The 25,724-nt window shown below is 39.7% G+C and overlaps 1 protein-coding gene across 8 annotated transcripts in view, besides 1 other annotated feature; it reads left to right on the forward strand.

Moving 5' to 3' along the window:
* Positions 1-6,492: 6,492 nt before the first annotated feature.
* UGT8 (UDP glycosyltransferase 8) overlaps positions 6,493-25,724 on the forward strand; it is a 79,824-nt gene continuing 60,592 nt past the window's right edge. For 2 of the 8 annotated variants that reach the window (XM_047416134.1, NM_001322113.2), the window contains exon 1: positions 6,493-7,148. The gene's annotated coding sequence lies outside the window, so the exon portion shown is untranslated. Of the gene's footprint in view, positions 7,967-25,724 lie in introns of all 8 variants that reach the window. The other 6 variants (XM_047416133.1, NM_001322114.2, NM_001322112.2 and 3 more) reach the window with 5 other exon arrangements.
* Positions 11,387-11,596: an enhancer, noted in NCBI's record as "active region_21840". NCBI's record gives its function as "activates an Ori minimal core promoter by ATAC-STARR-seq in GM12878 lymphoblastoid cells {active_cell/tissue: GM12878}" and the evidence as "EXISTENCE:reporter gene assay evidence [ECO:0000049][PMID:35858748]".

Consider the following 25,724-nt stretch of genomic DNA (forward strand, 5'->3'; position numbering starts at 1 on the left):
TTATGAACTGGGGTGGGGGTGCTATTGCTTCTGGGATGGCGAGCCTCCCATCTGAGAACTTCCACCAACCTCCTTTCTGGTAAATTCCATTCTTCTGCTCAAACCAAGCCTTTTCATTAGCAGAATAGTTAGGGGGTTCTGTAAGGGGAAGCTCCAGTAAAGGCATAGTAAGGGTTTCCTTTTCCTTCTTAGTTACCTCTGTCATTGCAGCTCTTTTGGCTTCTCTGTCCACCTTTCTGTTTCCTCTAGCCTCATCACCTCCTTCTGTTTGATGCCCTTTGCAATAGATGACTGTTACTTCTTTTGGAACCCATACGGCTTCTAAGAGCTGCTCTATTTCCTTTTAATTTTTTATTTTCTTTCCTTCAGTAGTTAACAACCCTCTTTCCTTATATATGGCTCCATGGGCATGCAAAGTGGCAAAAGCATACCTTGAGTCAGTATAGATGTTTACTGATTTTCCTTTTGCCAAGAGCAACGCTCTAGTGAGAGCTATTAGCTCAGCAATTTGGGCTAAAGTTCCGACTGGCAGAGGGTGGGCTTCAGATACTGAATTCAGTGTTACCACTGCATATCCAGCCCATCTGACACCTTCAGATATGAAGCTGCTCCCATCAGTAAAGTATTCGACATCTGGGTCTTTTAAGGGCTGGTCCTTTATGTCTTTTCGGCTTGAGAAAACCTCATCCAGTATTTCCACACAACAGTCATACCCAGGGCCACACAACATGGGCTTTCCATGCTCTACCCATTCTATTGGCAGCAGTGTGGCTGGATTTAGAGTATTCACAATCTCCAAGGTTATGTAGGGGTTTTCACACAAAAGCCCTTGATATCTTAACATCCTAGGGTTAGAAAGCCAGCGATGCCCACTCTGCTCCATCAGGGTGATGACCGTGTGGGGAACCCGAATTATCAACCTTTGTCCCAATTTGAGCTTGTTAGCATCTTCTGCTAACAGGACAGTGGCTGCCAATGCCTTGAAACACAGTGGCCATCCCATAGCCACCAAGTCTAGCCCTTTGGACTAATATGCCATGGGCCAATACCATGACCCTAGTATTTGTACCAAGACTCCTGTAGCTATTCCTTAACTTTCATGAACATATAGGTAAAAAGGCTTTTTCATGTCTGGCAGTCCTAATGCTGGGGCCTGGATCAAAGCCTTCTTGATTTCTTTGAAGGCCATGTCCTGCTGTTTTCCCCATAGGAGGGGTTCCTTTTCCCCCTTTTTGTGGCTTCATATAATGGCTTAGCCATGAGCAAGAAATTTAGGGTCCAAATGCGAAGAACCCTGCTGCCTCTAGGAACTTTCTTATCTGGCACCGGGTGGTTGGAGTAGGAAACGCACAAACAGCCTACTTTCATTCACCACCGAGCCATCTTTTCCCTTGGCTTATACAGAAGCCTAAATACTGGACACTTTTAAAGCAGATTTGAGCCTTTTTTACCTGACACTTTATATCCTGCCTTCCACAGCAGGTGCAGAAGGTTTTGGGTTTTTCCCGGGTGCAGTAGCCCTTGGCCAGTGGCTTTCTTATACCATGGTCCTGACCATTTTCCTTATTCTCTTGACATTCATCCTTTCAGTGTCCTTTCCTTTTGCACCATTCACATTAATCTTTTTCTAGCCTTGGCCAGCTCTTAAATCCCTGTCCAGACTGGCCTCTTTCATGACTGCACCCACGCCTCCTTGCAAAGTCAGCTTCCCTTCCCGTGAGGGCTGCTGCTAGTAAATCTGCCTTTCCTTAAGCTTCCAATTAGCTTCCTTCTTTGCCTCCTGATCTCGGTTAATGTACACCTTTGTAGCCACTTTAGTAAGCTGAGTATCACTCACGCCTGTGGAGCTTCTAACTTCTGGAATTTATGCCTGATATTTCCCTGGGCCTGCCTTACAAATGCCATATTTACCATGTACTGTTTTTCAGCAGCCTCAGGGTCAAATGGCATATGAAGCCGATAAGCCTCGCAGAGCCTCTCGTAAAATTCACCGGGACTTTCATCTGGCTTCTGGTGGACCTCTGAGACCTTTCTGATATTGGTGGCCTTTTTCCCTCCAGCCTTTATTCCATTTAGGAGTGCCTCTCAATACCACTGCAAACTTTGTGGCCCTTGAGCCTGGTTAGGGTCCCAGCCTGGGACAGCCTCTATCAGAAGTGCTTGTTGTGCATACTGCCTGATATCTCCTGTGCCTGCAGGCTCATTGTTCTCGAGCCACTGGAGAGCAGCTTGTATAACTCTTTGGTGCTCTTCCATATCAAATAATGACAGAAGAAGTTGTTTGCAATCAACCCAGGTAGGATTGTGCATTAGGAAAATGGGCTGCATTAAATCTATAAGAGCCTGAGGCTTTTCTGTATAGGAGGGAGTATGTTGTCTCCTATTTCAGAGATCAGTAGTAGAGAAGGGCTGATAAATGAAGAGCCATTCTCCCCCTTGGACTTCATTCTGTGCATTCAAATAAATTTGTCCCCATGTTTATCGGAGGGACATCTGCATTGCTTGGGCATGACCTGACCTAAGATAGCCAACCTCATCCCCCTGGAATTCCTCCCTTGGGTTTTCAGGTAAGGGCTCTGACTTCTGTCTGCGTGGTGTTGCCTGAGGGATGCTTTCTTCTGAGTCTGAGCCTCCAGAGGCAGCCAGGGCAGCCTCCTGTCTAAGCCTTGCCAAGGATGGATAAATTGGTGCATAGGGGGTAGAGTTTCTAACTCTTCAGATGGGGCCTGTAGGACAGGTTTTTTCTGCTTTTCCTGTGACTCTTTTTCTTTTTCTGATGACTTGCAGTCTCTTTCTATTGTTCCTGGTTTTGTCCAAGCCATTAAAGTCTTATGGTAGGTCTCAAAGCAGGTCTGCAGCCACTTAGGGCGGGTCTGAATTACACTTAGCTGGGAGTCTGTATACGGGAACTGATCTGGGTGCCTGGGCTATTCTCCAAGCCCAGTGACCACCTGAAACACTTGGCCAATTATCTCCTTGTGTATTGTCCCCTCGGCCAGCCACCCTACATTAAAAGACAGCCGGTTTATCTCACAAAAGGTTCTCAGTTTCTGTGGAGTTAGCTTAACCATTTAATCACCATTTAAACCTTTTGTAAAAGTTTTTCAGCATGCACTCCAGTGGAGTAGGCTTTGATGCTTTTCCTCCCATTTCTTCCCTCACGGCATGCTTTCACTGTCACTTTCACTCTTGGATCCACCAGACCAGGTCCTATTATGGGAGGTTCGGATGCTGCTTAGCCAGGAGAGTGCCTTCATTCCTGTTACAGCTAGCTGCAGCCATGGTGGATGCTGCTTAGCCAGGAGAGTACCTTAATTCCTGTTACAGCTAGCTGCAGCCATACAGCTGGTCCTATGGGCTGTATGCAGTGTTCTAGGTCTGGTTTTTCCCACACTCGCCTCAGAGCACACAGTGCATGCTAAGAGATCTGTGCCTCCCCATGTCACACCCCGCATTGGTCTCTCCTGAGACTGTCTCACACACCTCCCCCGTCCCTGAAACTGTTTTCCTTTCTGACTGACGTGCGAGCCCCACCTGCATCTGGTGTCGGTTAGGGCGTGAGTTTTGTCTGAATCAATGGGCCTCTCCCATTGTCCCAACCCCCTCGGGTCAGATCAGTCATCATGCCCTGGGAGATGATCAGGCTCCCCTTCCGTCCTTATGGGACGGGTCTTGCCTTAGGGCCCAAACTTTACCGTGGTTCAGATGGCTGTGCGCTGCTCCCGTGACCATCCTGCAACCCCTTCCACTGGTTCCATTTGTGCTGTCGGGGGAAGGCCCCAGAACGCGGGAGGGCAGTTCTCCTTCTGGGCTGAAACTCTCCTGGTGGTGCCAAGGACCCCAGATCTCCCATGTCCTGGGGCTGTAGCCCACAGGCAAAGGAGACAGAAAATGTTCCCTCTCCAATCCCGGATGAGCCCCCAGAAATGTTACAAGACAATCAAAGACTGGAGAGACTGAAAAAGGTTCAGGAGAGTCTATTAAGGTGATCACCGGCCCAGCCGGACATATGTCCAGAAAGTATGAGCCCCAAACTAAGGGCTTTTCCTACTTTTAAACATTTTAAGGCAGGAACTACATGAGGTGGGAAGCAAGTTACAGAAGCGAGAAACAAAGGCAGTTAATCAAGCATTACAACATTTCTTACATCTTGAGAAAAACATGTCTTGCAACCTAAACTTATTGGTCTTGTGACTGCAGCTGTGCAGGAGCTTGCTGGCCTGTAATAAACTTGAGTAATTTGGAGTTGGGGAGTATAGATAAGGTCCACTGTCCACAGAGACAGGACAGGCTGTTAACATTCTCCTTTAACTTGAGTGTAAGGGGGCAGGGATCACACTTTGCAGAAACTTTAAGAGGATTTTAAAATTTCTATTACTACTACTATTAAGTTACGTTTGATTTCATTAATTTCTTCTTCAAATTCTAGGAAGTCTGATCCCAGAGTTAATGGTGAATGATTACAAAACTTATATAATATCTCACATATGGTTGTTTATATTTTCCAATAAAGTTATATGGGGTGAATAATTATAACAAGTATTTCTGAAAAAAATAACAATTGAGAATACTGATATATATAGTCCACAGAAATAATGAGGGAATTTTAATACCATACTCCACATTGGCTGAAACTTTCTCACTGCAGGCTATGCTGTCCCATTCAACATTCTATAAACTAAAGATGATAGGGAGAATCTTGTTTAATCTGAATGGGAGCTTGAAGGATACATTAAATATGGAAAATATGCATCCTTCCTTAAAGAGAAGTAGCAAATGTTTTCATTATTCATTTATTCAACCACTTAGCCAATAATGTTAACAATTAAAGGTGGGAGCATTAAAAAAAGGAAAAGTGGGGTGGGGCGGTGAAATGAACCTCACTGATTTCTTGCTTTTATCATTTCAAACTCCAAAAGTGTATTTCAACTATTCATATGATGATTGAATAAACTTGTTTTACATTATGGAACACCCTTACTGTGTAGAGCTGTGAGAAATTCAATAATCAGTATTTAATGTGGACAAAAATAGATAGATTAGAGAAACAATAAACATGGACATATCTACACATAATATATACTCCTTTTCTATCCAAAAATCTGACAAAAACCTTACACAATGGTCAGTTTACACCATTTTAAGGACAAGGATGTGGTGAAACAATTTTAAACATTTTTATATAATAAAAGAAAAAAGTTGTTTTAATTGCTAATGATCAAGTTTTTACCAAGAATTTACATATGCATCATCAAACAGTAGCTTGAAACTGAAGCTTGACCTTTGAGAAATAAAGCTTTTAAAGTAAATGTCTAAATTCTCTTTTCTTTATTATGTTACATTTCATTTACTTTAGGTTTTCTAGTGCAATTTAAATAAGAAATAAATAGAGAGTATGGTAATCAGGTACAAAGGCTGTGAAAATATTCCCTGCATTTTGCACAGGGAATATGTTCAAATTCCTAATCTGCAAAGAAGAAAAGTGCATTTTCTTTTTTGAAATGGCATTTGAAGATCTCTCCATCCATGAACATTCTTGAGCATATGGATTTTACAATAACAGCAGTGTATATTAGTTTTTTAATTTATCATTAACTGATAACATATACAGTAAAATATAATTTCCGTTTTCTTATCTAAGGGCAGAAAATCCCAACCTATTTCTGAATCTCACTTTGGAACAAGGACAGAATGACCTGACATGGCATTTTTGATTTCCAACGTTTAAACGCATAACGTTTGTGTGCTATGGAAGCATCTTAGCTTCTGGAATTTATGCTCGACACGAAACATAAACAATAAACAATTCAGTCCACGTTATATAGACATATCTCATATATATATGAGATATATATATATAAAATATCTTACGCACATGCACACTTAGACTTTCTCGGTTTTCATGAAACTCACAATCTACCTCAGGCGCTCAAAGGCACTCGGCCTCTCAGGTCTGAGGCACCACAGAGAGGCTTCCTTGGGCACAGTTGCTTGCTGGTCAAGACGCCAACTTGGCAAGGTTATGCTGCTGGCAAAGGCAGATTCGTCAGAATAAAGTCGCCACAGGCTCAACCAGGCAAATCATGAATGGCCCTTTCAGCAGGAGCCTGAGAGGAGGGATGTTATTCAGCCCAGCAACCCTATTTACTTTTTTTCAGGATCCCCAAACTCGCGTTTTTTAAGGCTTTCCGCTACAAGAGAGCCAGAATTGAAGCCTGGGTTGGCGGCAGTGCAGGTACCTGCTCACCTAAGCATCCCTCTTTTAATTTTCCTAACTCCTCCACCCACTTGCCCAAGTATAACTTTTGAATGGATTCAGCAGAAGTGAGGCAGGAAAGGCAGGAAGATGAGAAAAGGCGCGACATCAACACGCAGAGCTCACTGAGCCGCCTTGATGATAAAAGGCGGGCACAGGGACTACGTGGGTGGTGGCAGAAAGGGCGCGGGACACGCCTCGCAAAGAGGGAAGAGTGGGCGGGGCCACGTGCCGTTGTCAGAGTTCGCAACTCGAGCGCCCAGAGGGCTCGCGAAAAGTCCCAGCCTGCAAGCCAACCTCGCTCAGCGGACGACTGGCCGGATCCCAACGCGCTGCCCCTTGCCCAGCCTGCGAGCGCGTGGTACGAAGGCGCGTCTGCATCCATGCCCCAGCCCGGGGAGCTGGAGGCGCTCGCAGTCAGAGGCGAGTGATGCTAGGCTGAGCGCGTGGCGGCCCGTGTCGTGCCCCGCTGAGCCAAGTGCGGAAGGGCAGCGGCGCGCTCCGACTCTGCTCGCCGCACGCAGGGCGGGGCGCGGCTGGGGGGCGGGGGGCCTGGCCGCCCGCTGGGAGCTGCGGACGAGCAGGCGCGCTGAGGACCCGAGGGAGGACACGGTTAAAGCATTGCTATCAACTGTGAACCCAGAGAGCCCTCCTTAGCCAACACGCTAACTCCGAAGCCTCCCTTACGCCCCCGAACCACCGAAGGCGGCGACACCTGATTCAGCGCACAAACACAGGTCCCTTCTGTCCCGGATACAATTACGCGGCAGACACACACTCAAACTCGCGCGGGGCAGCCAAGAGACGAGGTGAGCGGAGGGACCACGCCGTTCCAGAGGGCGGAAGGGGGGGCGGTCTGGGTGGAGGAGAGGGGCGTTGTTTGCTCCCTGAGGTGAGTGCCGGGCGAATGGCTGCTGTCCAGGGGCGGGGGGGTGGGAATTAGAAAGCACAGACAGGGTTGGGCTGAGGAAGTTAGAAGTGGTTAGTGGGGGTTGGCGGGGTAGGGAGAAAGGCTAGGGGTTGAGGGGGTGTGAAGGAGATCTTTTTAGGCTGGCCCCTCATAGCGCCCGCGATCCTGTTTCTGCCATATGGCATCCGTTCGAGGGTTCTCTCGCGTTTGTGCGCTCAAGGCAGAGGGAGGGTATAACGGGGAGGCGATTCGGCCGAGGACCTTGTACTTGACCCCTGAAGGGATGGGCACCGCGGAGCCCAGAGGCCAGAGCCAGCTGCCAGGGCAGGGATGGAGGTGGGGGACCAGGAGGAGCTTCGGGACCTCTTCAACTCCCCTTTACTCCGTCTTCCCCCTAAGGAGGAACAAGAGCGGGATGTGTTGGGGGTGGGGAATGTCTTGGGGCTGTACAAGCTCGCTGAGACTTTTCGGGGCCCGCCGTTTCCGCGTGCCCGCGCGACTCTCGACAATGGACAGTGTACAGTGGTGGCAGGGTTTCACGGGTCCCCGCGCCGATTTGGGAATGGTACGGGGTGCCCTTGCATTAGAGAAGCCTGTGCGGGCCCCCGGGATTAGAGAAGAGGTGAGCGCCTGCGGGCGGGGAGAGAAGGACGCGCTGCTGGCAAAAAGAAGGGCGCCTTCCATGGACTGGAGGAGCGGCGAGGGAGCCTGGTATGTGTGTTTTGGATTTGAAGGAGGCAAACCGCATCGGAGAGTGCAAGTAGATGCAGTGCGTCGGGGCAAAAGGACAATCTGAGGAGGTGGGCGGGGTACCCAATCTCTATATACAAGCTTTCTGGTTTAATTGAGGGTTTATAAAATTGAGTACGGTAAACCTGCCATTGTGCAGCACTTCCTTAGGAAAGGAATAGCCTCTGTACCTGTACCGCGAGTTCCCATCACCTTTCAGCATCTAGGCGGGGAGAGGAGAGAAGGTAGAGAACTTCTGAGAGAGTTCTGAGAACTAACGCGAATGGCTGGATTGCGCTAACTAGGCGTTCTTAGCAGGAAAATGTCGCCAAGGGAAGGAGTGGGTGGCGGTATCAAACCAGGCGTGCTCTGGAGAATCACCTTTATTATGAGCCAGTGTTAGCAGTGACGATAGAGTCTTTTATTTCTGGGGATCCTATTGGTAAAAATTAGAAAAAAACCACACTACTCCAAATACTCCAAAAATCTTCAGTCCCCTCAGGCTGTCACCTTGTACTACCAGTTTTTCAGTATCAATGACGTGAATGTTAGGGAGTTTGGCTAGATGCCAAATTGTTATCATTTCTGATAATTTCATGTTCAAAAACGTCTATATTCACTCAAAATTGGCGTGCTTCTGACATATCCCCAGAAAAAAATCACCACCATTTGAAGGAAGGATAGAAAGTGCCCTTTTTTCTTTTCTTTTTTAAAAACTTTTATTTTAGGTTTTGGGGTACATGTGAAGGGTTGTTACATAGGTAAACACATGTCACAGGGGTTTGTTTTACATATTATTTCATCACTCAGTTATTAAGCCCAGTACCCAATGGTTATCTTTAACCAATATTTTAATAGTGTTAAGAGTAACCATACTTTGTCCCCAGGAGATTTTAAAATTAGAGTCATGCATCTTAATATTATATGGTAAAGGAGACCAGAACTTTGTGTTACTTGAATTAAATCTTAGCCAGCTTAGTTTTCTCCTATAGAAACTGTCTCTTGGTGGTTTGAGGTTTTGCTTTAGGAATGTGTCTGTGTTCAGCAACTCTTCTAGATAATGCCAGAGAAAAACACTCTAGTATTGTATGATTTGCCTGCCACCTACAAGGTTAAGTTGACATCTAGTGTTGTGTGACTTAGTATTATACAAGTCTTTAAAAACTACAATAAAGCATAGTGCCCCGATATTTAGTAAAGGCTTGATACTCTATTAGGAGGTTGGGCATAACTGAACAGAAACTATACTTCTGACTTTTTCCAGGTAATACTACTATACAGGTTCAAACTCTTTTTAAATCTAAGATTTCCAGAGGACTATGCTTGTTGTATTTAAGCTTGGTACGCGTCTTAGAATAAATAAACCAATGCAGTAAATAAAGATGCTTATGACAATTTTTTTGGATAAAAACTACTTTTCGTTTAAAGATTTTGACAGTTTACATTTCCCAATAATTTAAATTAAAACATTTTATTGCACCTTATGAACAACTATCAGCTTCATTACCATTTAAATATTGCTAAAAATCCCATCTTCAATCCTCAAATCCTTTTTAAAATCATGCACCTGTTTATCAAATAATATCAATTTGTTGCTTTTTAATTCATACTAGGATTTTCCAACATACACCTGGGAATTTCTAAGATATCCTTGGAGAGTGAGAACTTTGATTATTTATGCAAGATATAGTATCTCATTTATTTGACCTCATCTGCATTGGTACTTATTTACATAAGCACATTTTCTCGGTAGCTGACTCTTCACACCGTTTATTACTGAAACTTAAAAAAAAAGAGCCATTATAACCCACAAGCAATTTCTAAATCTTACTGTCTTCCTTGTTCCCTTGGAGAATATTGGATATAAGTTATTCTTTCTTGTTGGGTTGTCTTTATGAATTCATAAAGAATTGAATAGTGCTATTCGCTGAGGTGTATAGAGCTGTTTTTGTTTATAGTAAATGGTCTCAGCCTGCTGGGTTGAAATACTAGAATAGAGACAGAAGTACCATTCTTCTTTTTATGTTTTTTTTTTTTTTCTGGGTCCTCTTTCTGTTATTGGCTATCACTTTCTGCTGCTGTCAGACTGTGAGTGGGCCCTGCTGCTCTATTATCTGTTGTCTTTTTTTCCATCAAATGATGTGGGCTATTGCCCGAGTGTAAATCCTGTAGACTTTGTGACAGACACTTTCAGTTTACGTGCTTTATTTGTGGTTTGGACTGTGAACTGAAATGTTTAGGTTTCCAGAAGGGTGACCTCTATATAAAAGGTTTTAATGTACCTTTTATAGAAAAAATTTGTGTATGAGATCTTTAGGAGGGTGTATTAATTTCAGACAATTCAGTCTTCTGGAATATCTTGGTGTTTCTGAGAAACTGAAGCAGCCTTTAAAAAAAAGTTTACTTTCTTATGATAGGCCCAGATCGTCTTTGTTTAGGAATATGTATACTAGAATATTTTACATATTACTTTCTGCCATTGAAACTTACTAACTATAATGTAGTGTAGTTAATATTTTTCTACCCCGGAAGTCCAGAATAAGAAGTATGATTTGAGAATCCTGCTAACCATACTTGAGGCTACATGAATTATTTAAATATTATTTTGCAAATCTACTTATGGAGGAGGTACATAATCAAATACATATGATTAAAATGGTTTAATTTGATCTTGAAAACAGTGGTAATCATATCTCCTTAATCTGAAGCATTTCACAAACATTCATTCTTTTATTCAACAAATATTTGTTAAAAGCATACTGTGTGCCAAGCACTGTGCTCTGGGGATGTGCATACAATTAAGGCCCTGGGAGGGCTCTAGGTTTAAAAGGGGGAGACAAGGAGGAAACAGGCTATTTTCAATATCTACAGTATAGTGCTGGCTGTTCTGTAAGTGCCGTGATAGAGATACACACACAGTACCCTGAGCAGAAATTTGGAAGTGGTCAATTCTGTGTGGGGACAGGAGATTTGAGGGTTTCTTAGAGGGTGACATAAAAGATGAATCACTGGAGGCAGGAGCAAGATCATGGAGGGCTGTTTGCCATTCTCAGGAGTATGGACTATTTTCAGTTTAAGGTTGTTTTAAACAGAGGAGCTATGTGATGAGAAAACAGCTCTTACAGCAAGCAATCTAGAAGGATGGATCTGAGGAATGTGAGATTTGGATGGTAGTTTAGAAGATATTGGGGTGGCTTTGGTAAGAGAGGTTGAGGTCCTTGTACCAAAGTGTTGGCAGTGGGATGAAAAAAAGGGGTTTGGTTACAACGATATTCAGGTGGTAGAACCTCTAAGATTAGGTGACCAATTTGGTTGGAGGATTGGGAGTGGGTGGTATAGGAGGATGGGATGGGAACTTAAAAGGAGATCCAGATTTGAGAGCAAGAGTGATAGAGTTCAGTTTTAGACATGTAGAACTTGAAGTGCTTATAGAAAATCGAACTGGAGATGTGTGTCCAGTGAATCATTGTATGTGAGTTCTGAGCACAGAGGTCCTGGGCTAGATAGGCAGGTAGATAAATGGTAGGTAGATAAATGGATAGACACACAGAAACATTTAGGAGTTTTCAGTGTATAGGTAATTATAAACCGTGAAAGTTGATAGGTTTTCCAGGGCAAGTACCAAAAGTTAATAGGGAAACAGAGGCCTGGGGAGATCCTAAAATTTAAGAGTTGGGTAGAGAAATAGGAAGCAATAAAGAAAAACGAGAAGGTACAGAACAAGAGAGGCAAGAGGAGAGTTAGGAGGGTGTAACTTTTAAAAGCAGCTGAAAACTGAGAAAATTTCAGAAAGTGAGAAGGTCAGGTACTGAAATGAGGGGGTGTTAGACAGTCTCGGTTCCCACCCCCTCTCGAGCCCCGAATAGCTCTGTGACCTTGAGCTCACAATTTAGTTTCATTTCCTCATTTAGCAAATGAGGGGAGAAGCACCTACTTTATAGGGCTACTGTGAGGATCAGATGAGATAAAATCTATCAAGCACAATGCCTGGGAGGTTACTCCTTTGTGTTTAACAAATGCTACCTGTTTTATGGAAACCAGGACTTGGATTTGTGATTAGAAGGTCCGTAGTCATTTTTGCTTTCACAAGTACTCGCTCTCAGAATTCACAGAGAGTGATTGAAAATATATTTTTAAGATGAAAATTTGATCATACTTTTAACTTTTTTGGTTAGAGGCCAGTAGAATAGCAGCCATTGAAAGTTTTGAAGGGAGCAGAGGGAGCCAACTGAACAAAAGTCCTTGAAGAGAGAGTGGAAGTTGCCTCAAGAGCGTTGCAGAGATGTTGGGTTTCTCAGGACAATCCATGCTTCCGCCAGTCAGGAGGGTCTGGTGGCATATGCATTGTGTTTAAAAAGCACCTGGTAATTAAACCTCCAGGTTTCTAATGTCTTGTTTAAAGTACTCTTAGTATTTTAAGTGTGTTCTAGTTCCTTAGATAATCTATAAGGACATTGATTATACATTTTAGTATTAGCTGAAAATAAACTCAGAAAACAATACAGATGATTTCAAAATTTAACAAAATGTAATTTAATATTTGATGATTCCAAAGGCACCTCTATACCTCATAGGGTCTTAAAAATCAACATGTGAAAAATAATTATTAGCCTGTGTAATAGGGGAAGGACTGATTTGTAGAGGTTTGTTTGCTTTTTTTTTTTTTTTCCCCCAATTAAGACTACTATGGTAATATTTAAATATACCTACTTTTTTCCTAGGATTTTCTGTTTGGATGAAGTGATGCTTTATATTAGAGATTAATAAACATTTTAAATTAGATTTCTATTTTAATATGTGTATAAGTTTTTTACTCTGTAATTACTGCATAATTTGAGAAAATGTTTACATCTATGCAGTGGTTTGGAAGTCAACCAACAATTGCACATAGTACATATTGTTTACTAATTGGTTATAAGGCATATAATAAATATTTGTTGTCCCAATACATGTTTGTTGAATAAAACAAAATTAGATATTCCATATTTTTAAGATGAAATGAATTTTATATCTGTAGTTTTAATATTTAATCATATTCTTTACCTGAAAATCGCTAGCCATACTTTTCGTTTTCAGCACTTCTCTATTTTGCAGTTGTGTTTCAGTGCTTTTTTTTTTCCCACTGTGCTTAGTCCTTCACGATTTATGGCCCTGTTATTTGTAAAGCATAGTAATCTAAGCAGGTGATTTTCAGTTTAGGATTTCTTCTAGTTCCATGTTGTATATTCACCAAGTCAGTTTTAGACTATATATTGTCATGCTCAGCACTCCCTTACAGAGATAACAGATGCCAAGTTGAAATTGACTTATACAGAATGCCACACTTAGGTAAGTGTTTAGGAGTGCATAGCCAAAATAAAAATGGTACCTTTGGTTTATGAATGGCAGGGCATCTAGGACAGTGTAGGTCAGTTCGTATTCTCTGGATGGACATTTATGTAAATATTAAAACATTTAGATTAGATGGAAAGATGTATAGTAGGAACATTTCAGAGATACTGTTTCCTTGTAGCATTGTACTATTTATCTGAATTGTTAATTTGGAATAATCACTATATTGATTTTATTTTGAAGATATAATTTATTTCCATTGACTTGATATAAATAACAGAAATGCATCTGCAAGGAATCCAGTTCATTAAAGAAATTTACATTCGTATCTGATTTGGTAAATATGTGCTTGATTTGGGAATATTATATAACAAAATATTTGTGAAATCATTTTGTACTTTTTAATTGTTTTGAAGAAATTTAATACTCAAAATATTTCAAGACACCAAATCATGACTTTTTAGTTATTACATTAAGCTATAACTTGCTTTAATGAGTAAAAACTGTGGGGCTAATTTTCTTCCAAGTGAAACATCAAGTTTAAATAATGTGCACATGAATTTACAAAGTAGAATCAAGTGTGCAAATATGCTATATGTTCTGTAATAGGTTCTTGAAAAGCTGTATATAAACTCAGCTTTTATAAGTTGAGTCATATTTATAGAATAAGAAAATAGGGCAAACATTTAACACTTCTTAAATATTAAGTGATGGGCATACAGATGTTTGTTATGTTAATCTTTATATTTTTCTGTATGTTAGAAATAGTTTACAGAAAAAAATTGTGGTTAGTGACATTAAAGCACATTATATATTAAATATACTCAGGGACTTTGAAATTTAAAGCAATATCAACATACAATTTACCATAGAAAAAATCCTATTCTGATTTTATTAATACCTGTTTTGCAAATTCAGAATTTTTAATGGGTTTAATTAAGCAGATACACACACAACAACAACAACAACAAAAAACTTGGACACACTTCTGTAACACATCTTGAATATAGTCTCATCTGTTGGAATTTTTTAAACTTCTACACTTAAGTCTTAATCTGATTCTCCCTCATCCTCATAATATTCATTATTCAGAGGAGAGGCATCAACAGGAAGAATTCAATTTTACTTAAATAAAAATTTTTTACTAGCAACGGAATGAGTGATTCAGTGGTGGTGTCTTCCTGCTTTGAGAGAGCTGTTCTAAGACTAGGCAGTTAGTCTTAGGCCTAAGACTAGGCAGTTAGTCTAGGGGCTCCACAGCAGGCCCTTCCTCTGGGTTCTCTTTATGAAGAAGGCCTTTGTGTTTTACATAGATTTTGCATTTGTGCTGCTGTCCCTATTGAGTTGTTCTCACCAAGCCAATCTGGGGAGTAGCTCTTAGGGGAAAACTAGTCAAACAGGTTTGCCTGTCTATTCAAAAGGAGGGAAGAACGGTGAAATGTATGGATAAAGGCCAAGAGTAAAACTGTTTTAAGTAATATTCATGCTAATCACTGACTGTTGGTTTTGAAAATACTTTGTAGACATTTGTGAGAATGTATCTTAATGGAGATAAAGTAAGAGAGAAACTGGAAGGGGAAGTAGTTTAGAAGCAGGGGATAAGGACAAGATGGGGAGAAGGAAGGGAAAAACAATGGAGGCAAAATAAGCTCAAGAAGGAAAGAATAGTGTTTCAGTGTCATATCTGGGCTTTATGTAAACTGGGTGTGTTATAGCAGGAAACCATGGTATTGATCTGAGAATGAATTTAATTAAAACAAACAAAAAACCCCCACATGCCTGTGATCCTCAATGTCCAAAATAGGGAGCGTCTTGCCAGGGCAGGGCTGAAGTTTACTAGGAATATTGGTGGGAAAATGTTATAGTTAACCATCTCTGATACTAATCTTATATTAGAGATAATACTTGGTTTCCCCTAGTAAAGTGTTAGAGTCATACAGCTTTATTGTAGTTTGCAAATCTATTACACATATATTTCTACTGTTTAGTTCTCATTCTGCCCCTGAAGCATAGCCCTATAGGTAGTAGCATTTTACAGCTCATAACTTGGTAGAGTCCCAAGTAACCTTTGGAAGTCAAAATGACAATCCAGTCTGGGGAATTTGATGTTAAAACTAAAGCTTCTTGCCTAGAACAAGTTTTGGAACTATAGCTCACCACCTGCCTCATGTTCTGGGAATGCTGAACCTTGATCCCACTGAAATTACCTTTAAGTAGTCTTTCTGTAGTCCTCAGTAATCTCCTCCTTTGCTCCATGCTTCTTCCCTGCTCCTTGAGAGTTCCTTCTCCTTTCTCATCTGTAATGGTAACTCCCCATCTGATCTTTGGTTGTGCCTCTTCTTCCTTCCTGGCATTTTTATTAACATCTTTTGTCCCAGCACCTCTCCTCTTCTCTATTCTCACTCCTTTGGTGTAGTTATTCATGCCCATAGACTGGATTTTTATTTATATATAGATGATTCAAAAAGCTGTATTTCTAATTGTGATTTCTTCTATACTCTCAAGAGCTTAGAGTTCCCAGCTCAACTTCCTAACTCAGATCTGACATCCCCATTTGCCTCAGTCTTCGAAGACAGATTTTGGTGTTGTGGAATTCACTTTTTTACCCTTTATATCTAATCTATTCCTAATTGATCACTATGTCCTTCATGAAGACCTTCTTCCCTTGCCTGAGTCTTTCCATTCACCTCCTGATGTCTTGGTGTAGTCCCACATCACTTCTTCACCAGTGGTACTAAATGACTCATTTTCACCATTACCTGGGCCTTCCATCACCTCCTACTGCCCACAACCATCAGTCACTTGTCCTTACTGACCCACTTGCCTTCTTTGAGTGTGATTTGACTATGCGTTTATTTTCACATGGGGATCCAAAATTTTTAGCATGGCTTTCGAGGCTGTCTATTGTCTAGCTGCTTTCTGATCAGACTTATTTATTTTCTCATATTGCTCAATAGGATTCTATCCTGTTTACCCACTGGGGCATTCATTTCAGGATATCCCCCCGCTTGAGATGTCCTGCCTTTTTTTTCTTCTGCACTTCCAAATTCTCACCCAAGGTTTTGACACTCAAGTCCCACCTCAGACTGTGGCTTCCCAGTCTCTGTCACTTTTCTGTGACTTTGATTTGTACATATATTGATGTTAGCAATTAGGTTTCATTCTCCCTCTAAGGAGAGTATGAACTCTTAGAGGGTGGAGTCTCTTGTCTCCTCATACACCTTGGACAAACACTATTGATCAGAGAGAAGATATTCAAACATGATTGAATGGTATCTTTAGTTTGTCATGAGGCAATAAGGGTAAGTTTCCTAATTTTCTATACGTATTTTGATTTTTTCCTGTTGTTTTTTCCAGAACTGCATCATTCAAACTTGAAACATTCCCCTATTTTTTTTTAACAAGGTGTTCTATATAGGAACAACATATCTTATAGGGATTGCTACATTATTTAGTCACAATGGAAAAAAAAGTTTGATATATAGAAAGATTATATAATAGTTACATGGAACTCTACTATAAAATTATAATGGTTTAGTGGGTTTTCTTTTTTAAATTTACCTGGGGCTTCTATAGGTGGATGTGCATTCACAACTAATTCTAGGTAATGCTAATAAAAGAAAATAATCACGGTGATAATTAACTGTATTTAGTTTTTATTTTGTATTTACATTTCAATGTAAGTATGCCTAATGTCATGAAACCATAGTTGGAGAAAATAATGATTATATGCATGAGGAAGATAACTTAGGAAGCATTCTAATTGTCCAACTCCCCACTTCCCCATAGACCTTTTATAACAATTAAATCAAAGCACCAGCCCAGGAATAATTCTTTTTTCCATTCTTTGTGCCTATTTCCTCCTTTGATAATTGCTGAATTCTTCTGGTCAGAATATCTCCCTTTCCATCTCCCTCTGAGCAGAGCAATAGGAATAGGAATATATTTTAAGCCAGGTGAAGTGGTGCAGGTCTGAGGTCCAGCTACTCTGGTGGCTGAGATGGGAGGATTGCTTGAGGTCAGGAGTTGAGGCTCAGGCTGTAGTGTGCTGTGGAGATCGTGCCTATGAATAGCCATTGCACTCCAGCCTGGGCAACATAGTGAGACCTTGTCTCTTAAAAAAAGAATATATTTTAAGAAAATTCCTCAGCTAAAGTAAAAAGAAAAGAGAGATAAGCTAGGTAAGATTATTAATCAGAAGTAATGCTTGTCTGTTTAATTTGCCAGTTTTAAATAATTCTTGAAGGCATTTGAGAGGTCATTATATTCTTTTAATCAGTTAGACTTTATCTGAATATATGCTTTGGAATATACTTTTTCTTCAAACTTCTAAACTATGTGCAATATACAGAAACAAGGTCCTCTGGCTGTCCTGCTTTCTGCTTGCTTTTTTTCTCTCCCTTTCACTTTTCTGGAGATAATTTTTCTGCCTCTTGTAGGGAATTCAGAGGAGGGATCCTAGTGATTGGCTTTACAAATTTGTGTGGGGGAGGGATTGGATAGAGTGGAGATGGGATAGGCATCTGCCCATCAGTAGGATTTGGTTGTTTGTCCAGCCTCTATATGGGCTTTAAATGCTTTATACTTTCTGACCATTATTTTTGCCAGCAAAAATGATGTAGCTTATTTTGATACTACTTAAATGCAGTCCTGTCCTTATTCTACCCCTACTACTCCATCCAAAGGGAGACTGAAGGGGAGACATTTTGAACCAGACATGTTGATTTCCTGGTGGCCTGTACAGTGAGTATTTTGTAACATTTAGAATTAATTCAGTCATTCATTTAATAAGTAACCTAATATATGCTAGAAATCTTCTGTCTTAGAGCCAAAATATATTGTAATTTTTTCATGGTCTAAGTATCTAAGGCTTTACAGTATAAAAGTTTAATAAAGTCATGACCAAGGCTTTACAAAGACTGCTATTTTGATTCATGTATCACAGAATTCAATAAAAAGTCAAACTATTATCTGACATATGGCAGTGACAACTTTGGAGGGTGTTTATATGGTACAAATAGAAGATGCTGGATTAGGACCTAGGAAACCTGAATGCTGGTTCCGACTCTGCCAGCGAATAACTGAACTAGCTGTGTAATGCAAAGACAACCACCCCATAGAGACTTTGCCCCTTTCTCTACAAATGAGGGGTTTGAAATCACCTATCTTTAGTTTTTAAATTGTGACTCATTTATTTAATGAAAATATATGGTTTTTAAAATTTTGATATCATTTTGGTACAAATATATTGTGTCAATGTTTAAATATATTTATCTTATTTTCACAAGACAATGGCAATGATATACAAAAGACTTTCTCTGGACTTGCCTCATTGTGGTGAATATCGGTTATAATCATAGATACTTAGAAGACACAAAATTATACATTCTTACCTGTTAGTAAAGGAACATCAAAGAAATTCATTCTGTTTTTCTGCAGAAACTATCAAAATTTTTCCACTTCTGGGGATTAAGATAACTTCTGTTTTTTATCTAATACTCAACCTATCTAATACAACCTTGTCCTAGTGATGATGGTAGAATTTTATAAAATAGGGAAGTTTGTTATTTGTTCACCTGTGAAGACCTTCAAGGAATTGAATAGGAAAATACCTAGAGTTTTGTTTCTTGTTCTGATTTGCTTGTTTATATTTGGCCAGTTTTGTCCTGAAAATATGTTTGAGAGATTACATGAAAATTTATTTTGTGACTCTTAATATAAATGTTAAAAATACATTTAAACTAGTGATAGTAAAGAAAGAATATCTTAATTAGTGGGGGAAATAATCCCATGATCTTTTGTGATTCTACAACATTACTGTAGCCTTAAGAATCTCTACTAATGTTGTATTGAAAAGCTGTTTCTCCTACATGTGAATATGTTTCATTGCAGGAGAAGATGAAAGTTTGATCTGGATATTCTCCAGATTCACTTGCTGTATTCTACTAATTAAAATCCCAATAAAAGAGAATTATGAAGAGTCCTAACAAAACATTTTAAAATGTCAATCATTGTTTTTGTATTTTTTAAAAATAAAACGTATACACGTTAGACTGTAAAGCCTTAATCTCAGTTGTATGATTTGTGAAACTTTTCTCACTTGTGTAAAGATGGGATCAGAATCAAAACAATTAATTTCCATATTGTTTGCTGAATGTTTATCACATGCTGCAGATGCGTGGAGATAACTGTACCAGGCTAGTCTTGGGGAATTTCAGAAATAGAAACCCACATCTTTTTCTGTAGGATAACATAGCCATATATATCCATATATATATATATATATATATATATATATATATATATATATACACACACACACAGAGATATTAGATATATATAATATCTATATTATATATTAGATATCTATATATAAGATAGCCGTATATATCCATATATATATATATATATACACACACACAGATGTTAGAAGACACAAAACTTTACATTCTTACCTGTATAATCATAGATACTTGGAAGACATATATTGTAGATACTTGGAAGACATAGATTCTTACCTGTATAATCATAGATACTTGGAAGACACATATTTACATATATATAAATATGTATACATATATATTTTTAAAATGAGGTATGTGATCAAGACGAAAGTTTTAATACCACTGTTTTCTTTATTAAAAAGGAAAATTGCATTTTTTAAAAATTACAAACTTTTATCCTTATTGTCTAAATTTGGTTTCTGGAACAGAAGCATCAGTGTTACCTGGTGACTTGTTAGGAATGGAAATTCTTGGGCTCATCCCAGATCTGTAAAATCAGAAACCATGAGGGCAGGCCCCACATGTGTGTTTGAACAAGACCTCCAGGTGATTGTGATGCCTGCTGAAGTTTGAGACCCACTTATCTATGATACCAGATATCTCATCAATTCACTTTTCTCACATAATGAAAAAATTCTGATCATCTTAAGGACAAAAGAAAAATTTAGTTTAGATTTTAAAATGCTTTCCAGGTAAGTTTTATAACCTAAACTCGTATCTTATTTTACTTACTAATTGGTTATTGAGGCATCAACAAATATTCTTAGTTCAGATAAACCCACACATTTCTCAGTTTATTAAAAAAAAACAGGGTTGAATTAGTTGTTTATTTTGGTATACTTTGCTATGACATTGTACAAGTGTAGCCTAGATTTTCTTAATTTTTAATCACAGGGAATAAAGGGGAGGAGGGTTTAAAAAAGCCAAAAACCCTTAGTCCTAGGCCTCATCCCCAGAAATTCTGATTTGATTGAACTACATTGTAGATGGCAGGTTTTCAGGCATCTCTATTTTTCCAAAGCTTCCCAGGTGATTATTATGTGCAGTTGGACTATAGCCATACGTTCAAAGATTGGCCCATCTACCACGTATAGGTCCATTAAAAAAATTGCACATTAGATCTATTAGGTTCTTTTATTATTTTAAGCAAATTGTCCTTTCATCTATGTTTAATTTAAAAATATTTTCTTTTCCAGTACGTTATTGGTATTGTTGATTTGCTTAACCATGTTATTGATCATTTTATTACTCTTTATTCAGCCTCCTGGTTTTGCTGTAAGTCCTTGCTTATTCAAAATGCACTCCAAGCACCAGTAGTCCCATATTACTAGAGAGCTTGTTTCATAAATAAGTATGATGGGGCCCTACCCTACGTCTACTGAACCACAATTTACATTTTAATAGTGTCCCTATAAAATGTGTCTTCACATTAATGATCCTCTATAACTTAAAATTTAAAATCAAGGTAAATTCTTTTTCTTTTCATTTTGTTTCTTAGAATTCATTGGTTTGATCTTAACTGCTTTTTATGAACCAAAGATATCAATCTCATTAAACCTATTCTTAAACCCTTTTTTTCCCAGTAAGTTTTAGAATAGTAAGGGATATTTTAAATTATCAAATTTCATAGCCCCACCTGACAGGTGAAGAAAATTAGGGACATAAATTAAATGACTTGGACTAAATTACAAAGGGTACTGATTTGGGGATCCATAGATGCATGCTGCAATCATTTTATTTTTCTTTTCATTATGTGTCACTTAAAATGATATCTTTGTAATTTAAACTACTTGAACTGTGAGCTAACTGAAAAGATAGTCTTAGATTACCAAGTACCATACATGTCCAAAAAACCTCAACATTTTATATATACATTAACAATTATTTTAATTATCTGTCTAAATTGATCTTGATAATGCTTTTCTAACATACTACTTCAAATTAGTTTAGAATTTAATTAATTAAGTAATAATGGGGAAGTTGACTATTAAACAACATGAAAATGAAAGGAACTACTATATGTGTTTACTACTTATTAAGTACTAAAAATAGTCATGTGCTTCTGAGAGACTGCTGGTACTTTGTATATAGAAATTTAAACAGAAAGTTGTTTGGAATTGTTTGTTCTGAGTTCCTGGGAATCTGGGGCTATGTGCATTATATTTTTCTAAATTCCCAAGATAATTGAGCTTTAATTCAGGTCTCGATAGTTGGATCCACATTACCTTCATTGTATTACCTGTATTTCTCTTATGCACATAAGTAACGAGTGCTAGATCCCTATCTGTCAGTTCGGTGGGAGAATTGCATAAATATCCCCAGCTGCTTACTAAATATGCAGATTCTTGGGTTTCTCCCTAGACTCCATAACAGCTTATTTGCTGAGGTGACTTTGGAACCTGTATTTTTAGTAAGTACTTGAGGTGATTCTTCTGGACGCCAGAATTTGAAAACAACTTCATTAGGTGATTATATCTTTGTGTTTTAAATAGTTAAATTTAATCACCATCATCAGGCATTAATTGGATACATACTGTGTACAAGGTACTGAGTGCAGTCTGTTGATATTCGTATTATCTTATTTTTATTTTCTCACTATATTTTTGTTTTTATCTTACCTTCCTGCTTAATGTTTTCAGAGAAACTCCCCAGGTGGGCCTAAGCCAGCTATCACTGATAAGCGAATAGGGTTGAGTTTCTCATTACAGCTTCACCACCTGTACTGTAGATGTCTGAAAAGAGATAACTGCAGATACTTGTGTTGAAGAAGTGGTAAGTGCAACTAGCTTGGAATGGTACAACAGCAACAACAACTGTCTTTATAACCTCTCCTTCAAGAAGAGGTTCTTTTGTATTTCTCTTGGCACTCATGAATGTTCCAGGTGCAAAACTGAATTTTTTGAGTGGTATTCCTAATGGTCTCTTCCTTTCATATTTCATGTGTGTAAAGAAAGGTCTGCCTCTGTAATACTCGTAGAGATTTCTATTAATCTTATTTTTCATAAGATGGCATACTAGTTTAAGGAATGGAATAGTAACACAATATTTTTCTTTATGCTCTTTTAAATGAGTTTGTTATCAGGCAAAGCAATATTTTAAAAGCAAAAGTGATTGTGTTAGAAATTTTGACCAAAAGCTTCTGACAGGGAACTTTGGATTAATTTATTTCATTAAGTTTGTGAAATGGAACCAAATTCCTTCTTCCTTTGCATTCAGCATTTTTCAGTTTTATTTCTGCAGTTAAGCCGTGGGCTTCTATACAAATAAATATAATTTTTCTGATGGAATGAAAAACATTAATTTAGTAATGTGGAGGATTTTGAAAATCTAGAGTTACTTATATTTATTAACTGCTGACAGCCAAACTGAGTTCTCTCTGTGTAAGGTTTTCACTCAGATTGTACTCTTAAAGGTGCCAGACTTTTTTTTTTTTTTTTTTTTGGGCAGGTGGAAGTTTTAACCAACAACAGGTGGCCTCAATTTTCTGAATTCTTTCTTCTCCTACCTCAAATCAGTATGTTCCCATTCTAGTGATTTTAGGGGATTCTTTGCTTTTAGTAGTTTACTTGCTAATAGCCACCATAAATAACTTAAGATTACCAAGAATTGCCTACAGATGAAAGATACATGTTTAAAACGAGGGCTATTTAACAACCAAGTAGATATAAAGCTTAGTTTTTCCCAGTTTGTCCACAGTTAACAACTTTTTTTAAGCTTTCTTTTTTTTCTCTCTTCACATGGTGGGATATGAGTACATTAATTTACTAGATACTAGATCTTTGTCAAGTTTTTATACTCTCAGTCTTATTATCTGTAAAGTGGGAGCCACTTTCTTGCCTTCATGTGATCTCAATATGAAATGAGATAATGTTTAGAAAGCTGGTAATGCAGGGGGAAGGCATGTAGCAATTAAAAACAGCTGCTGTTTATTGATACTTGTATGTTAAGTCAAAGCAATAGGGTGACCAGCTCGTCCCCGTGTGCCCAAGACTTTCCTAGTTTTAGCACTGAAAATCCCACATCCTGGGAAACTTCCCCCCTCCCCACCCAGTTCTAGGCAAACCAGGATCCTGAGTCCCCCTAGGGCTTCCGTGACTTAGGAAAGGTAGCTTAGTTGCTTCACACACAATAATTTGGGCATAAGCAGGCAGGGCTGGTGTTATGGTTTTGCAGTCTCAGGACCCAAGTGTCTTTGTTGTTACACCTTTTCTGGTTTATAATTCTGCCTGTATGGTCTAGGATGTTAATCATTACCATGTCTCATTCCAGCTGGCAGGAAGGTGAAAAGTGAAACTCCAAGGGCATACATTAGAAATTGCACATAGCAATTCTGCTTCCGTTTCACTCTCATTAAGTAGAACTTATTTATGTGACTAAAACAAGCTATTAGAGAGGTAGAGAAAAATTGTCTTTCGTCTTTTTGGCTATATGCCAAACTGAAGTACTCCAGACCCTTTTTGCCTGGGTATCAGGCAGCAGAGGCTGCAGAACAGCGGATATTGGTGAACAGCAAATGTTGCTGCCTGATTGTTCCTCTGGAAGTTTTGTCTCAGAGGAGTACCTGGCCATGTGAGGTGTCAGTCTGCCCTTACTGGGGGGTGCCTCCCAGTTAGGCTAGTCGGGGGTCAGGGACCCAGTTGAGGAGGCAGTCTGCCCGTTCTCAGATCTCCAGCTGCGTTCTGGGAGAACCACTACTCTCTTCAAAGCTGTCAGACAGGGACATTTAAGTCTGCAGAGGTTTCTGCTGCCTTTTTTGGGGCTATGCCCTGCCCCCAGAGGTGGAGTCTACAGAGGCAGGCAGGCCTCCTTGAGCTGCAGTGGGCTCCACCCAGTTCGAGCTTCCCGGCCGCCTTGTTTACCTACTCAAGCCTCGGCAGTGGCGGGCGCCCCTCCCCTAGCCTCATGGCCGCCTTGCAGTTTGATCTCAGACTGCTGTGCTAGCAATGAGTGAGGCTCCATGGGCGTAGGACCCTCTGAGCCATGCGGGGGATATAATCTCCTGGTGTGCTGTTTGCTAAGACCGTTGGAAAAGTGCAGTATTAGGGTGGGAGTGACCCGATTTTCCAGGTGCCTTCTGTCACCCCTTTCTTTGACTAGGAAAGGGAATTCCCTGACCCCCTGTGCTTCCCAGGTGAGGCGATGCCTCACCCTACTTCGGCTCATGCTCGGTGTGTTGCACCCACTGTCCTGCACCCACTGTCCAACACTCCCCAGTGAGATGAACCCAGTACCTCAGTTGGAAATGCAGAAATCACCCGTCTTCTGCGTCACTCATGCTGGGAGCTGTAGGCTGGAGCTGTTCCTATTCGGCCATCTTGGCTCCCATGTATGGTATTAAACTCTGGTATTTTAGCTTTAGTCTCTTTGGAAAAATGGGAAATACAGGGGATTTATAAAATTCTATTTTCATCTTTAAAATATTTCAGTAGTATATTGGGGTGTTCCTGTATCAAATTTCAGCATATATGAACCATTGATACCTAGGCACAGAAGCATTGTAGCTAATCTAACTTGTTTTCTGGAGCTCTAAGGGTTTAAAACCTTTCCTTTGTGCTGTGCATGGTGGCTCATGCCTGTAATCCCAGCACTTTGGTAGGCTGAGGCAGGCAGATCACACGGTCAGGAGTTCGAGACCAGTTTGACCAACATGGTGAAACCCTGTCTCTACTAAAAAAAATACAAAAATTAGTTGGGCACGGTGGTATGTGCCTGTAATCCCAGCTACTCAGGAGGCTGAGGCAGGAGAATTGCTTGAACCTGGGAGGTGAAGGTTGTAGTGAGCTGAGATTGTGCCATTGCACTCTAGCCTGAGCTACAGAGCAAGACTCCATCTCAAACAAAACAAACAGACAAACCCTTCCTTTGGCCTTGGAGAAATCACTTTTACAGATGAACGTTTTGGATGTGCACCCCAATATCCTGATATCTTACTGTTTCACCCAAATTAATTCACACTGAAATGTTAAATGACTTCCCTGTGGTGAGTGGTAGACACACCTATTAAAATGCTTTTGGCTTCCTCTCTTGAAAGCAAGCATAGAAATAATTTTTAATAGAAAGAAAAAAGGGTAGACTGATAATGCAGTTTGTGTAGAGTCTTCAAATATTTGTACATTCTTTGAATTTTGGATTTTCTTCAAGATTCTGGCAGCATGTTACTCCACTGCCAGAATCTTGTAGTCAAATAGTAGTAGTATCCTAGAAGCCAAAAGAG

This window comes from Homo sapiens, chromosome 4, assembly GCF_000001405.40.
Source record: "Homo sapiens chromosome 4, GRCh38.p14 Primary Assembly".
Classification (NCBI taxonomy): domain Eukaryota; kingdom Metazoa; phylum Chordata; class Mammalia; order Primates; family Hominidae; genus Homo; species Homo sapiens.